Here is a 15,258-nt window from a genome sequence, read left to right as displayed (position 1 = left end):
GGAAATGTCAGTGAAAAGAAACATTACTGCTAGCCTGGTTATCTTGTTGTCCCTGAAACATGTAGAAGGTGTAAGAAGGATTCAGACACATTGTGAAGGTCTTGCATGCTTCATTATGAATGTCATGATATAGACTTACAGTGTCTGTTAAGAAAGACACCTGGTTGTTAAAATTCTGAAATAAATAAGTGGTACCAGCATATTGTTTGTAGTAGTGTATGTCTTGATTACACATAAGATTAGCACTGGAGTAAATCCTAATTATACGTAAGATTATTTCATTAATTTACTCCCAAAGGGACCTAATGACACATTTCTCTTTATCAGAAAGACAGATTTTAGATCTCATTAAGATCTTTTTGAGCTTGTGGTTAAAAAAGACCAATGGGAACCCAACGATATTTTTCCATACTTAGCATATATAAAGATGGCTTTAATCAAATACAGTTTTTAAAATCTGTTTATATAACAAATTCATTATACACATATACATCTTCTAAGCACTGGGAATGCAAAATCATGACAGCTGGTAGGAACTTGCACACAAGTTGTACAATGTGATATGTATGACATAGGATAAAGTAATTCTGCTTTGTGGGACACTTAAGGCTTCAGAGAGAAAGTAACAATTGCATTGGATATTTTAGTTAGAGTAGGATTTTTGTCCCTCACAGAAAAGTAAACAGTCTGGTGGGTTTGGAGTATAAAGTACGTGGCAATGAAAAGCAGGAGACAGACTTTAAAAGTCTGTTGGTTCATGCTAAAAAGTCTGGGCTTTACCTGGATGGCAATGAGGCGCCACCAAGGTTTTTATTTTTCAACTTTTTACTTTGGAAAAAAACATTTTTTTTTTTTTTTGAGACAGAGTCTCACTCTGTCACCCAGGCTGGGGTGCAATGGCATGCTCTCAGCTCACTGCAACCTCTGCCTCCTGGGTTCAAGCGATTCTCCTGCCTCAACCTCCCGAGTGACTGGGATTACAGGCATGCACCACCATACCCAGCTAATTTTTGTATTTTTAGTAGAGATGGGGTTTCACCATGTTGGTGAGGCTGATCTTAAACTCCTGACCTCAGGTGATCTGCCTGCCTTGGCTTCCCAAAGCACTGGGATTACAGGTGTGAGCCACCATGCCTGGCCTATTTTGAAAAAATTTGAAGTCAAAATAATAGTACAATAAATACCTGTGAACCCTTCAGCTATATTTACCAATTGTTAATATTTTACCATGTTTGCTTCATCTCTCTACATATGTATTTATATGTAATTTTTTTTATTTTTGCCAAAACATTTGAAAATTAAACATCTGGATACTTTGCCATTAAATCCTTCAACATGAATCTCCTAAGAATTAAGAACAGTCTTCTATACCACAATACCATTATCACATCCAAGAAATTTAACCACCCATACAATTAAATGAACTACTACAGTCCATAATCAAATTTCTTTGATTATCCAATACTTTCCTTTGTGGTTGCTTTTTTTCCCCAGTCCAAGATTCAATCAAGTACCACACATTGCATTTAATTGTGAAGTTTCCTCTAATCTAGAATTATCCCCTACCTTTTTCTCCTTTCATGACATTGACACTTTTTAAAAGAATCCAAGTTAACAGCCTTGTGGAGGCTCTCACAAGCTGTACTTGTCTGGATGTTTGCTCATGGTTAGATTCAAGTGAAACGTTTTTGGTAGGAGTACCACATAGGTCATGTTCTGTATTCCCCATGGTATCAAATCAGGAGGAATATAATGTCAGTTTCAACCACAGATTTTTAACACATGGAACCTGTTTCTTCATTAGATCTATGTGTTAGATCAGGGGTCCCTAACCCCTGGGCCACGGGCCAGTACTGGTCCATGGTCTGTTAGGAACAAGGCCACTCACAGCGGTGAGTGGCGGGTGAACTGTGGCATTAGATTCTCATAGGAACTGCACATGTGAGGGATCTAGGCTGTGTGCTCTTTATGAGAATCTAATACCTAATGATCTGAGGTGGAACAGTTTCATCCCAAAACCATCCCTCCCACCACCACCTCCAACCCCTGTTCACGGAAAAACTGTCTTCCACAAAGCCGGTCCCTGGTGCCAAAATGGTTGGGGACTGCTGTGTTAGATGATTCTGACAGTGGTATCAATGTCTAGGGTTTTTTGCCAAATGTTTCCAACAAACTAGACTGAGAACAGAATTTATATTCTCTCTGCCTCTTTCTTAGATGTTACTGACATGACCTTCTTATTCTCCCAATATATACACAATACATACCATAGTAATCAGTCTTTAATAGTCAGTTACATAGCTATGTTAACTCATGATGGCATGAGCCTTAACTGAAATAACTTGGTTGTAGACCATGCACTGACTAATTCATGATTCCAAATGCACTATTAAGAAAAACTCAACAGCATATAAAGGTATTAAATCACTCAGTAGGTGACCATAGTTTTGCTGTCACACAAAAAAGTTAACAGTCTGCTTTTAGCTAAAGCCACTTATTCTTATTCCAAACACTGTTTTAGAATTCTTGGCTTCAAATAGTACCTAACATATCTTATAAGAAATGTGCAGTAAAGGATAATATACTTTTTCTTGAAGGAACTCAAATAAGTACAATGATGAGCATATAGGAACTATCTTTCTATTCCTGAAGAATATTAACTAAAACAGGTATTTCCCAAACTTGACTCTGTCTGTGTTCGGAAAAAAAAAAATGTGGTTTTCTTTTTTCTTTGAGACCGAGTCTTGCTCTGTCGCCCAGGCTGGAGTGCAGTGGCCGTGATCTTGGCTCACTGCAAGCTCCGCCTCCTGGGTTCATGCCATTCTCCTGCCTCAGCCTCCCAAGTAGCTGGAACCACAGTCGCCTGTCACCACACCCGGCTAATTTTTTCTATTTTTAGTAGAGAGACGGGGTCTCACTGTATTAGCCAGGATGGTCTTGATCTCCTGACCTCGTGATCCACCTGACTCAGCCTCCCAAAGCACTGGGATTACAGGTGTGAGCCACCGCACCCAGCCAAAAATGTGGTTTTATGCTTACCTTATAGTTCAGTAGTATATATATTTATTATGTTAAATGGCAATTTTTTTTTTTTGAGACAGGGTCTTGCTCTGTGGCCCAGGCTGGAGTGCAACTGGATCATAACCCACTGCAGCCTCAAACTCTTGGGCTCCAGCAACCCTCCTGCCTCAGCCTCCCAAGCAGCTGGGACTATAGGCGCATGTCACCATGCCCAGCTGATTTTATGTTTTGTAGAGACGGGGTCTCACTATGTTGCCCACACTGATCTAGAAATCCTAGCCTCAAGCCATCCTCTCACATTGGCCTTGTAAATATTTTTAAAACTACTAGTTATAAAAAATGTTAAGGCCCTTAAAAGAAGTTAGTAAAAAAGACATACCTGAGTAAAAATATTATGTGTTTGGCTTAAAATCCACCTAGCATCAGCATCAGGTGCTACTATTAATTTCAAGGTCCCAACATAAACGTCAGAACATAAAGTCCAGAAGTGCTGTTCCTGTAAACTGTAAACTCCTTGCAACTGCTGTACCTGAAATATAAAGGAGAGATATTAACATCATAATCAAGTTAAGCACTCCCTTTTACTTAAGTTATTATGCAACATATCAGTAAACATGGATTCTATCGTCCATTTTAAAAAAAGGAAAGGAGGATGTTTGAATAAATAAATAAATAAATACTCTTGAGTACTAATTATGTGCCAGGTGCCATGACAAGTATTTGGGAAATATAAACAAACATGTATCAAAATTTGTAGGACACACCTGAGAGTGTGCCCCACAGGGAAATTTACAGTAACAATCACTTTATAAAGTCCAACACTTATTTATGACTTGGAAAAAAACTATTAGAAGGACACTTCCTTAACTTAATATAGGCTAACTACCAAAAATGTACAGAAAATACGGATGAAACATTAGATGTATTCCCTGAAGATCAGGAAAAAGACAGATACCCAAATCACTGCTATTGTTCTGCATCCCCATATTGATCTGGAGGAGCTGAAATAAGATCAACAACCAAAAGTTAAAAGAAAAAAGCTCAATGTGAAAAGATCTTTATAACAATTACAGCAGTTTACAAAGAAAGAGGGAGCTTCTCTGTGAGGGTGTTAACTACCTATCTCCAGAAATGGTCAAGAAGCTGTAATACCAACTTGATGGCATAGAGGAGATTTTGCAACAGACAGAAGGCTGGGCCAAATGCACAATAAGATCTTTTTCAGTTCTGAGATTCTGATTTTTACATAATCTACCTGGGAAGTTAAGAAAATGTTGATCTTATATCTATCAAAAATATTTATGTTTTGTCAGAATTTGATGAATGTAGTCATTATTTTCTATAAACTCCAAGACAGTTGATAGGAAACTGAGATAGTATCTACCGTGCCTTCTTTAAAAACTGCTTTTATTGGGGAAAAAGATCAAGGTGTACTTTTTCTTCCTCTTTTTGGACTCTGACAACATAGCTGTTTTAGCCAGATATCCCTCCACTCTTTCTACATGGCATCCTCATGGATGAGGCCTTAAGCTGAGCTCCACTGTTAATGAAATAACCTGGTTGAAAAGATTTCTCCTACTTCCATATGTGGCAGTACAAGTACATGACTGCAGTTATCTTAAAACACAAAGTAAAGAATAATTCCTGTAGAAACTGGCTTAATTTTACAAATTAAAAAATGGGAGGACAGTGTAGTTACAGATGAAAAGGGCAGTGTGATACAGTAGAAAGAAGATGACCTTTAGAGTCAGAGTGACGTGGATTAGAATCCTGATTCAGCCGCTAGCATTTGGACCTAAGGTGAGCCTCAATTTTACCTAGGGAAAGGAAGACGATACTCACCCTGTAGTTTATTGTGAAGAAGAGAAACTCTCCCTCTCTCTATATATATACATACACATATATAGGTTATATAACATATGTTATATATACATATACATATGTATATGTATATATAACATATATACATACATGTATATAACATATATAGGTTACATAAGTTATATAACATATATGTTATAGGTTATATAACATATATTGTGTATATATACATATACATATATATATATAAAACAATTAGTAACAATTATGCTGATTGATGCTACCTTAAAATAATAACCACAAATCTTGAATGGGCAATATGTAATTTCCCTGTATCAAAAGATTATTTTATACCTTCTCCTTTTTCCTCTAGCCTTCTGATCTCTCTGCATGATTACACTGCCTGGTACATTATAGAGAAAACAGAAGTAAAAAGAAAATCCCTTATCCTTTACCATTAAATCTACCAGTGACCTCTCATCTATGTCAGCATTTCTGCATTCCCTCAGAGGATCTAGTACCCCTGCTACTATCAACAGTTAATCCTTCCATTGTGCTTTGGGTTCTAGCCTTTCTCATCTACTCATGATGTCATTCCTTTAATAATGTCCTTTAGTACTATAACAATTTCTTCCTCTCAGACTGTTACCATCAGTTAATGCACATGTTCTAGAACTATGCTGTGCAATTCAAAAGTCACTAGACATATGTGACTATTTAAATGAATGGAAATTAAGTTAAAAAGAATCAGTTACACTAGCCACATGTGGTTTGTGGCTTCCATATTGGACAGTGCAGATCATAGAACATTTCCATTATTGGGGAAAGTTCTGCGGGATAATGCTGTTCTAAACATCCTACTTTAAAAACAAAAAATACCCTCTTTCCTGATAGTACATCCATATCCGCTATCAACTCATTTCTCTGCCCCCTTTAACAACACTTCTTAAAGGAGTTGTCACTTCTCCATTCATTTTCTCCTTAATCCACTCAAATCATGCTCCCCTCTCCAACACTCCAATGAAATTGCTCTTAACAAGGTCAGTAATGGCATCCAGAATGCCAGTCAATGATCACTTCTTGTTTTTACCCTCCTTGACCCCACAGAAATATTCAACACAGTTAATTACTTCCTCCTTCTTCAACTCTGTGATCCTACACTCTTCTGGTTTTCCAGCACACCACTAACCACTACCTTTCCTGGCTTTCTCACCTATGCTCCAAATTTAGAGTTGAAAGCAGAGCTAAAAGAGTAGAACTAGAACTTCTCCGGAGGTAATAAATACAATCTTGATGTTTTAGATGTTATTCATATATTGATGACTTATAACTCTTTCTGGTCCTAATCTGTACCCAAAACTCAAGATTTTCATATCCAACTACTTAAGTAACATTTCTCCTAGAAGTATAGTAGCCATTTCCATTTTAACATATCCAGAATAGAACTCTTCATTTGGGGAGATTTTCCATCCTCAAACCTGTACCAACAAGGCCTCAGTCTCAGTAAGTGGCATTACCATCTACCAAGTAATAAGCCAACACTTTCTCTCCCCTCTGCTAATATAATCCACTCCCAAAAACATATCCCAAATGTGAAGAAGAATATTTATCTTCACCGTTACAACTGTAATCTAAACCACCATTGTTTTTCATTTAGAGGACAATAACTTCATAACTGGTTTTCTTTGCTTTCATCCTCGCTAGAATATGTTCTCTTCATAGAAAACACAATAATCTCTTAAAAACATAGGATTTATGACACTTCTATTGCCTAAAAGCTTTCCAATGCTTCCCACTGAGTTAGAATTAAATCTAAATCTATGACCCAAAACCCTAAGTGATCTTGCTCCTGCCATTCTCTCCAGGCTTTCAAGCCATTCTTCCCTTTATTTAATATGCTCCAGCCACAATGGCCTTTTTTATTCTGTTCTTCAAACACAAATTAAATCCAGCCATAGCACTTTTACATTAGCAATTTCCCTTGCCTGGAACATTCTTCTCCAGTATTTTCATATGGCTAGCTCTTTCTTGTCTTCAAGGTTTCAATTTCCTTGAATATAACTTCCTTAGTGAATCTAAGGTAGCCATCCATGACTATCACATCACTTTGTTTTATTTCTACTATATTCTCATTGATATTTTCTTATTTATCTACTTACTGTTTAGTTACTGTATTTCCCCACTGGACTGTAAGTCCCATGAAACAGAGGCACTGTCTGTCTTGTTTACCATCACCTCCCCAGTACTTTAGAAGAGTATCTGGTAGAGTGGGAGCTCAAAAACTCTATGTTGAATGAATATCTCTGCTATAGATATTCTATATTTTTAAAAACTGCTCAATTTCTAGATCAGAACAATTTCTACCACATTTTCTTTAGTAAAGTTCAATATTTTCCGACAATTTTATTCTGGTTTGTATAAATGACATTTCATGGTCAGCATTCAATCTTGGAAGAAACAGTCAATTATACACACATGTTACCCATATTTGTGAAAGCTGAAAATCAAGAGATTGAAAACAGCATAAAATCCAATGGTTTGGAGTATTTGAAACTCACCCTCTGATAGCACTGAGGCAGACTATTTTCTAATAGGGGAGGAGTTCTCTGCATTAATATTCCAACAGATTCTCTTAAAAGAGGAATAACACTAAGGAAAAGGAAGACAACAATTTATTAAAGTCACATTCTGCTAATCCCATCCAGCAAGAAAGTAATAATATGCCTCCCTACGGTAGAATATAATAGGACTTACGGGAATAATATGAGAAAAAACAATCAACCAGTCATTGTTTTAGATTTTCCACGTGATCAGTAAATTATCTGAAGTAAAAATAAAAGAGCTAGAGAAAATGTATTAATGTATGAAAGAGTAAAGCTATAAAACTGAAATAATATCATATCATCTAAACCCAGCACATTTTCAACTGTTAGTTAAAATATGACTCCACGTGGTCAGAACCTTCCAAAGTAATCATAGTAGCACTGATAAGGAAAATACAAAAAAATGAATACATCAGCCTATTTGTCCAATATCAGTCATATTTCATTACTTAAAAAATATAGAAGCCTGGCGATAACCACAGATGCAGTGAAATGAACTCAGCTCCTCTAGGGATGGTGCCCAAAAGTCTGCATGTGTTGATGTAACTAGTCCTCAATTAGTATTTGAAACTACTGCTTTAGGCTATTTGGATGATTAAATGTACACAAAACAGGCCGGGCGCGGTGGCTCATGCCTGTAATCCCAGCACTTTGGGAAGCCAAGGCGGGTGGATCACAAGGTCAGGATATCGAGACCATCCTGGCTAACACGGTGAAACCCCGTCTCCACTAAAAATACAAAAAAAAAAAAATCAGCCGGGCATGGTGGCGGGCGCCTGTAGTCCCAGCTACTGGGGAGGCTGAGGCAGGAGAATGGCATGAACCTGGGAGGCGGAGCTTGCAGTGAGCCGAGATCGCACCACTGCACTCTAGCCTGGGTGACAGAGCGAGACTCTCCGTCTAAAAAAAAAAAAAAAAAAAAAAAACACACAAAACAATTAATAGTAGAATGGTGAGGGTGACTCTAATGCAATGCCTTTCTAATCTAGCACATATCCAATTCACCTTAGAGTTTTATTTTGTTTTCACTTCTGATATATTGAATCAGAATCTTTGAGGGAATGTCCAAAAAGCTCTCCATGTGATTCCAATGATTCAGACTGGTAATGTACTGTTCTACTGCTTGAAGTAGATTGAGAGGGGAGGTCAGAAATAGCTTCACTACACTTAATAGCTTAAATCAGTGCTCACTTTTAAACTTACAGAATTTCAAAATTTTCAAAGTAAAACTTCAGATAATAGCTGTAGGTGAAGAAGATAAAAAGAACATCCATCTTTCAAGGAAGAGCTCATAAGAAGAGTAGAAGCAAGTATACTTTCAGGACTGGTGTTATTTTGACAGATGGAAAGGAAAGAGAGGTACCAAGAAAGACCCAAAAGAATAGAGACAATGCTTATCTGGCTCACTATTATATTCTCAAGGTCTAGCAAAGTGCTGGTCATAAAGTGGGCCCAATTGTTGGTTAAACGAATGACAGAAAGATAATCAAATGTTTCAGACTCTGCCCTGAAGAAGGGCACAGGGCACAGGAAAGAAATGAGGAGACTGTTTTCATACTTTAAGTGCATAGTGATAAGAATTTGGACAAGGAGGGTAACCATAGGAACAAAGACAAATAGGAAAATTAAGCAAATAGAAATAACTGGTGTCTAACTGGATCTAATGAAAGACACAGTGAGAGCAATGTTAAGGACAAACAGATTACTAAAAAATATGGAGAAGATGGCAGTGATGAGGATAGAAAGCTAAATGTGGACAGGAGTTTCAGTCACATTCAAGTAAAAATATTATTTAGTCAATAGTGATTTAAGAACCAAGAAAAATTAGATGTCACCCTTAATTCCTTTTTCTCCCTTAAATCACCAAGTTCTCGTGATTTAATATCCTAAATATTTCTTGACTCAGTTCCTTCCCCTTCATTGTACTATGCATGTCCACAATAATATCCGTATCTTTTACGTGGATTATTATAATAGCTTCCTAAGTGGTCCCTTCAGCTCTAGTCTTATTTCCTCAAGTCCACGTAACAGGCAGCTTCAGTGATGGCTCCCAATGACCCTGCCCTATGTAGTATTCATGCCCTATGTAAAGTTTCAGGACTTAGTGACTTGCTGCTAATGAACAGAGTATGACAAAGTGATGAGACATCACTGCCAAGATTAAGTAAAAAGACTCTGGCCTCTGTCTTGTATACCCTCCTCGTTTGCTTTCACTTGCTCTCTCATAGCTGCTGTGTTGTGAGCTGTGCTATAGTGAGGAACATGTGGCAAGAAATTGAAGGATACTTCTTGAGAAATACTAGACAGACCCTCAGTTCAACAGCCCAAAAGGAACATAATCCTGTCAGTAACCACTTGAGTGAGCTCAGAAGTAGATTCTCCCCCAAATGAACCTTGGAATAACTGCAGCCCCGGCTGCTACCTTGATTACTGCCTTGTGAGAGATCCTGAGCCAGGCAACATAGTTAGCTATGCCCAGGTTCCTAAACCACAGAACGTATAAGATAATAATGTGTATTATTTTAGCTACTAGGTTTTTGGGTACTTCATTATGTATCCACAGATAACTAATACAACCATATTTTATAGAGACGTTAGACTAATCTACATAAAATAGGTATGTGACCCTATCCCTTTACCACTAAGAAATGTGTCAAAAGCTCCCCACTGCCTAGGGAATTAAGTGCTGGCTCTTTAACACAGTATATTTTTGGATCTGGCCCCTCTACCTTCACCTCCTATTAATCCTTGCTTCATATTTTAAACTCTCCAAATATAACATACTTGTACTTTACCTTATGCTGTTTATTACTTTCATGGTTTTGCTCAAACTATAACTTCTGCTTAGAATGTCCCTAAGCTGCCCTATAGTCTTACACTCCTTCTTTAAAATTTCAAGTGTCACCTCTTTTAGGGTATATTTCCTGATCCCAAACTGTCTTCTACACTGTATGAAGTGTCTTCTCTGTGTTCCTATGAAAAAAATCTGTGCTACCTATACTATTACTACATTGCGTGATAATTACCAGATTGTGTTTCCCCCTCCCTCTAACCAGAAAGCTGCTTTAAGGTAGGAATTATCTTATTTATGTTTGTAAACCCAGCATCTCAGATGGTGTTTGGCAAATAAATGTTTATGGAACAGAATTTGTAGCTGAATCTGTTAAACATAATTAATTCATAAATTTTAAAAGTATATCTAAGGCTAGGGATCAATACTAAATCTTAAATAATATATGGAATCATTAGCAGTTAAGAAAAGAAAGTAAAGTAAAGAAAGTAAAGTCACAGTAAGTAAAACATCTGGAAAAAGGGGAAACATTTCCAGCAACAGTAAATGCCTCAATGAAGAAAAACAGAAACAGAAAAAGGCCATTAGATTAAACAATGCAAATACTGGCCGGGTGCGGTGGCTCACGCCTGTAATCCCAGCACTTTGGGAGGCCAAGGCGGGTGGATCATGAGGTCAGGGGATCGAGACCATCCTGGCTAACACGGTGAAATCCCGTCTCCACTAAAAATATAAAAAATTAGCTGGGCGTGATGGCCGGCGCCTGTGGTCCCAGCTACTCAGGAGGCTGAGGCAGGAGAATGGCGTGAACCCGGGAGGTGGAGCTTGCAGTGAGCCGAGATAGGGCCACTGCACTCCAGCCTGGGTGACAGAGCGAGACTCCATCTCAAAAAAAAAAGAAAACAACAACAACGCAAATATTGTTTGAGGCCATCCACTGTAACATTTCAGGAACAGTAAAAGCCAGGTTGGAGAAAGAGAAAAAAAATGAGTAGAAAACAACTGCAAATGGACTTAAGGATTTTGACAGTGAAGAATATTGGTTATTCATTCATCTAAACTAAAGAGTGGGATCTGTTTCTACCTACTGTGTTGCTATTAAATAGCTGAAGACTTCCTGTGTTTACAAAAAAGGCAAAGAAAAAAATGATGGCATATTAATTAGGTACAATTCAACCATCATTTTTCTTTACTCTCTCCATCCTCATTTCTCAGGAAAAAAAAAGAATCCATCACAGAATGTTTTCATATATTAAACTTAAAATTTTTATCTTTTCCTAACTGTACTCAGAAAATGGGCACAAAAATTGTTCTCCTTGAATTATGTTTGAGAATTAGAAAAAAGGTTTTTTTCCTACCTACCTCGTAAGTTTAGTTATTTTAATAATTTCTTCTCCAATCTCAATCTAGGGAACTATTAACAATGTTTAGATATCTGACGTGAAAATTACACTCATGGAAACCATGACACTTGGGTTCTGATTCTGCCATTAAATAGCTTTAAGCAAATCACATAGTCTTCCAGAGCATCAGTTTTCTCATCTATAAAATGAAGGAGTAGACTAAACATCCAGGCAATTTCTTTCATCTTTTATATATTTTCCATTCAATAAGAAAAAGTGGTTAAACTATAAAGAATACTAGAGAGAGAATATATTTGGAAATGAAAGAAAATATAAATTGTTTTTATATACTAAGGGGAAAAAAGCAGTGTCACCAAATGACACATAGATATACTTGGCAAAATGATTTATTCTATCATGATAGAAAATCCAGCAAATGAATTTTATTAAGCAATCAATATTAAGCGATTATTAAGGATCTACTACTATATATCTGGCATCAGATTTTCTGGAACCAGGTGGGACCTTACTCTCGAGTTGTGGCAATGGTGACCTAGAGCACCAAAGTAACTTGTTTAAGGACACAGCTATTAAGCAGGAGAACTAGAACAGATCAGGTCGTTAGACTCCAAGTTCAGTTTTGAAAAGTTCAAGTCAACAAACATCTGTTATATGCCAACCATGTAGCAAGCATGTGCTAGACACTGGAAATACAAAAATAAATAATATAGAATATTTCATCTCAGAGAAATTCATAACTTTATTTTTAATAAGCCTGCAGAGAAGGCAATGGAAATCAGTCATCAAACTTATTTAGGGCCAACCATTTAGAAGAAGGCACATATGAATTTAAAGCAACTACATATTATGCTTGTATCCATTTTCATTTTCCATGAACTTTTGGTAAATGGTTTTCTTAATTGGTATGTTGATAACTTCTTTTTAAACATACCTTTAAAAGTAAAGGGGAAGAGAAAAAGGAATAGAAGAGGCACTGACTCAACTGCAACAGAAGGCATACAGTATGAGAAATAACATTACTTAAGCAATAGGTGTGAATAACTTTTGTGAACAACTTTTAAAAATTTATTGTTTTAGAATATTCAGGTTTAGTCTAGTTGTTTCCCCCAAGGAGCTAAACACAGTAACAGATGGTGAATCCCATCTATAATAATCCTTGAGGAGATCAGCCTTAAAACATTAAAGACATTCCCTTAGACAGTCCAACAGTCTCTTAATAAGTCACCTAGAAAAAACATCTACAGATTTATCCAAATCTTTGTTCAAATTTTTATGTGTGTATTCCATGTGTGTTGCCTTCCAAAGTCTGCTACTCCCTGCCACCACCTTTTTAAAAAATAACCTAGTACTTCCTTTTTTCCTCCTAAAATTCGCTTTCACATGAGGCCCTTAGTTTGAGGACTCTAGAATTAGTAAAGAAGTTACATGATCACAAATAATATCATATTAGAATTAAAAGGAAATTTAGAGATCACTCATTTTAACACCATTCAAGAACAATATGTAGATAAACATTTTAATAAAATGTTAGAAATAAACATATATTTTAAAATTAACTAAATTATAAGACATCATCACTGATATAAGGAAATAAAATTATAGTGCATTTTTATCTCTTTTTTTCATTAGGATCAATTGTGGTTTTTATTGATTTGCTTATACTGAAATTTGGAATGGTTGTCTTTTTAGGTAGAATTTTAATAAAATCTTTACACTCAACAGCAGCAAGCATTTCACCAAAGCAAATGGATATGTCACACTAACTTTCTCCAATAGCAATTTAAAAATAATGCAAGAATTTCAGCTGTAGGAGCAATAACTAGGTCATAAAACTATGGTAGAGAATAAAGGTACTTGCTAAATCACACGGTGATACACAATTTAGAACAAGGCCAATTTCTATAATAATTTAAAGAGTCATAAAAATGTAAAAGAAACCTTTAGAAACTCTAGTTTTTGCCTTTTAAAATTGTGTTTAGCTCAGGAGTTTGTGTCCATATTTTTCTGATTAACTATTGTAATAGAGAAGCATAAACCAGATTTTAGCTTGGATCTATCTAGCCATAATGAAAGGAAATGTAGAAAACGACAAGCTTAGCAAATTCCTGACTGAGCTAAGACTTAGAGCTACATCCAAACCCAAAAAGTAAGCATTTGGAAACAATTAGAGGTTCACTTCTGGTTGACTAACCCAATTCTAGCATTCACAATGAAGCACCATTTCCCTATCATAAATAAAAAGAGATGAGTCATTAGGTATGAGTTTACCAGTAAAACAGGGCAATGATTTTATTCTTCAAAAGCTGAAGGTAAATCACAGTTATAATCTTACAATCATAAACATAATATTAATTTGAAAGCTTTACCCTTAAATGCTAACAGATTAAATAAGCAGTAGTTACTTATTACTCTTTACTGCCAGTAATTTTTTACAAGTAAAAATATATTCAAATCTTACTTCAGAAGCAGCTTTTAGTGAAAGAGCCTCACTACTTCAACAGTAAATAAAATTATCTACCAGTAATTATAAACAAACCAAACAAAAAAGGGTATGCATTACGAAAACTTCTGAAGAACAGTCTACTGACAATCACAATGTTTAACAATAAAAAATTTCAGTTAAAATTATTACTTAGATCTGAGAATAAATGTCAAGTAATATTAATTAAAACAAGATTACAGATTCATCTTGATGAATCAGCTTATGAGCTAAGTTTTCCTATATATTGTAGGGGTTCTTACAATCTACAAACACAAAGAAAGAAAATTATAGTTTTAAAAATAAATTTTAAAAATAAATTTGGCTTATGTTGTATATCATATTTTCAGGGGACAAAAAAGCCAAAGAAAACTGGCCCATAATGGTAACGCAATTCACATTTAAATTAAATATTCAGTCACATTTGCATAAATATAATTAATTCATAGTGATGGATAATTACCTATTAATCCAGAATTTCATAAGCCTTCTATAGAATAGATAACCAAAAATCTTATCACCTGGGATTGTGCTTTACTTTATAATTATACTGTGTTTCTGAAACCTCTGGCTCAAATCAATGCATATTTATAGAGAACATGCTTTACCAATAATGGGGATATTAAGATGTCCTAAGGTACCCCTAGAACTTAGAGCCAAAGTCATGAAAAAGTCATCCTTTTCCATAAGCTTCTGGAACTTAGTTATAACACCTAATGCATCTGGTCTTTGGACCAAAAACACCAGTGTATAATGTCAAATTTGTAAATAATTAGTAATGTCATTGTTTAGATAGCACTTAATAGTTTTTAAAATGCTTTCATAAATTTTTTTTAATTTAATCCTCACAACAACCTTAAGTAACCTTTAAGAAAATGTTAAAATCACTCCCTCATTTTACTGATGAGAAAACTAACTTGGAGAGGTTAAAATAACTTGTTCTTTGTTATACATAGGTAAGAGTTAGTGGCAGAGTTGGGTGTGACATTGCCAAGACAAAAGCTCTGCACACACTGCAGTATCTCATCACAGTTATGTTCTCTAGAGTGAAGAGAATAAGAATGAAATGCCATATTCATTTTATTCCCCCAGCACAATGCTTAGAACATAATAACCACTTAACACGTCTGCTGAAGAATGTATTATATACTTAGAAATTCCAAATGGCAGATTACTGAC

At 35.9% G+C, this 15,258-nt stretch overlaps 1 protein-coding gene across 4 annotated transcripts in view; it reads right to left on the bottom strand.

Moving 5' to 3' along the window:
- The window catches only part of SLC30A7 (solute carrier family 30 member 7), a 99,989-nt gene that overhangs the window by 26,760 nt on the left and 57,971 nt on the right, over window positions 1-15,258 (bottom strand). For all 4 annotated transcript variants that reach the window (XR_246237.4, XM_017000400.3, NM_133496.5 and 1 more), the window contains exons 9-10: window positions 7,401-7,491; window positions 3,401-3,550 (exon numbers count right to left, since the gene is read on the bottom strand). Coding sequence is in view for 3 of the 4 variants with exons in the window: in XM_017000400.3 (XP_016855889.1) it covers window positions 3,401-3,550; window positions 7,401-7,491 (241 nt within the window). In the remaining variant the exon portion in view is untranslated. The remainder of the gene's footprint in view (window positions 1-3,400; window positions 3,551-7,400; window positions 7,492-15,258) is intronic.

Source organism: Homo sapiens, chromosome 1 (genome assembly GCF_000001405.40).
Source record: "Homo sapiens chromosome 1, GRCh38.p14 Primary Assembly".
Lineage (NCBI taxonomy): Eukaryota > Metazoa > Chordata > Mammalia > Primates > Hominidae > Homo > Homo sapiens.
Note: the sequence above shows the minus strand (reverse complement) of the source record. Positions and strands in the feature narration are given on the sequence as shown.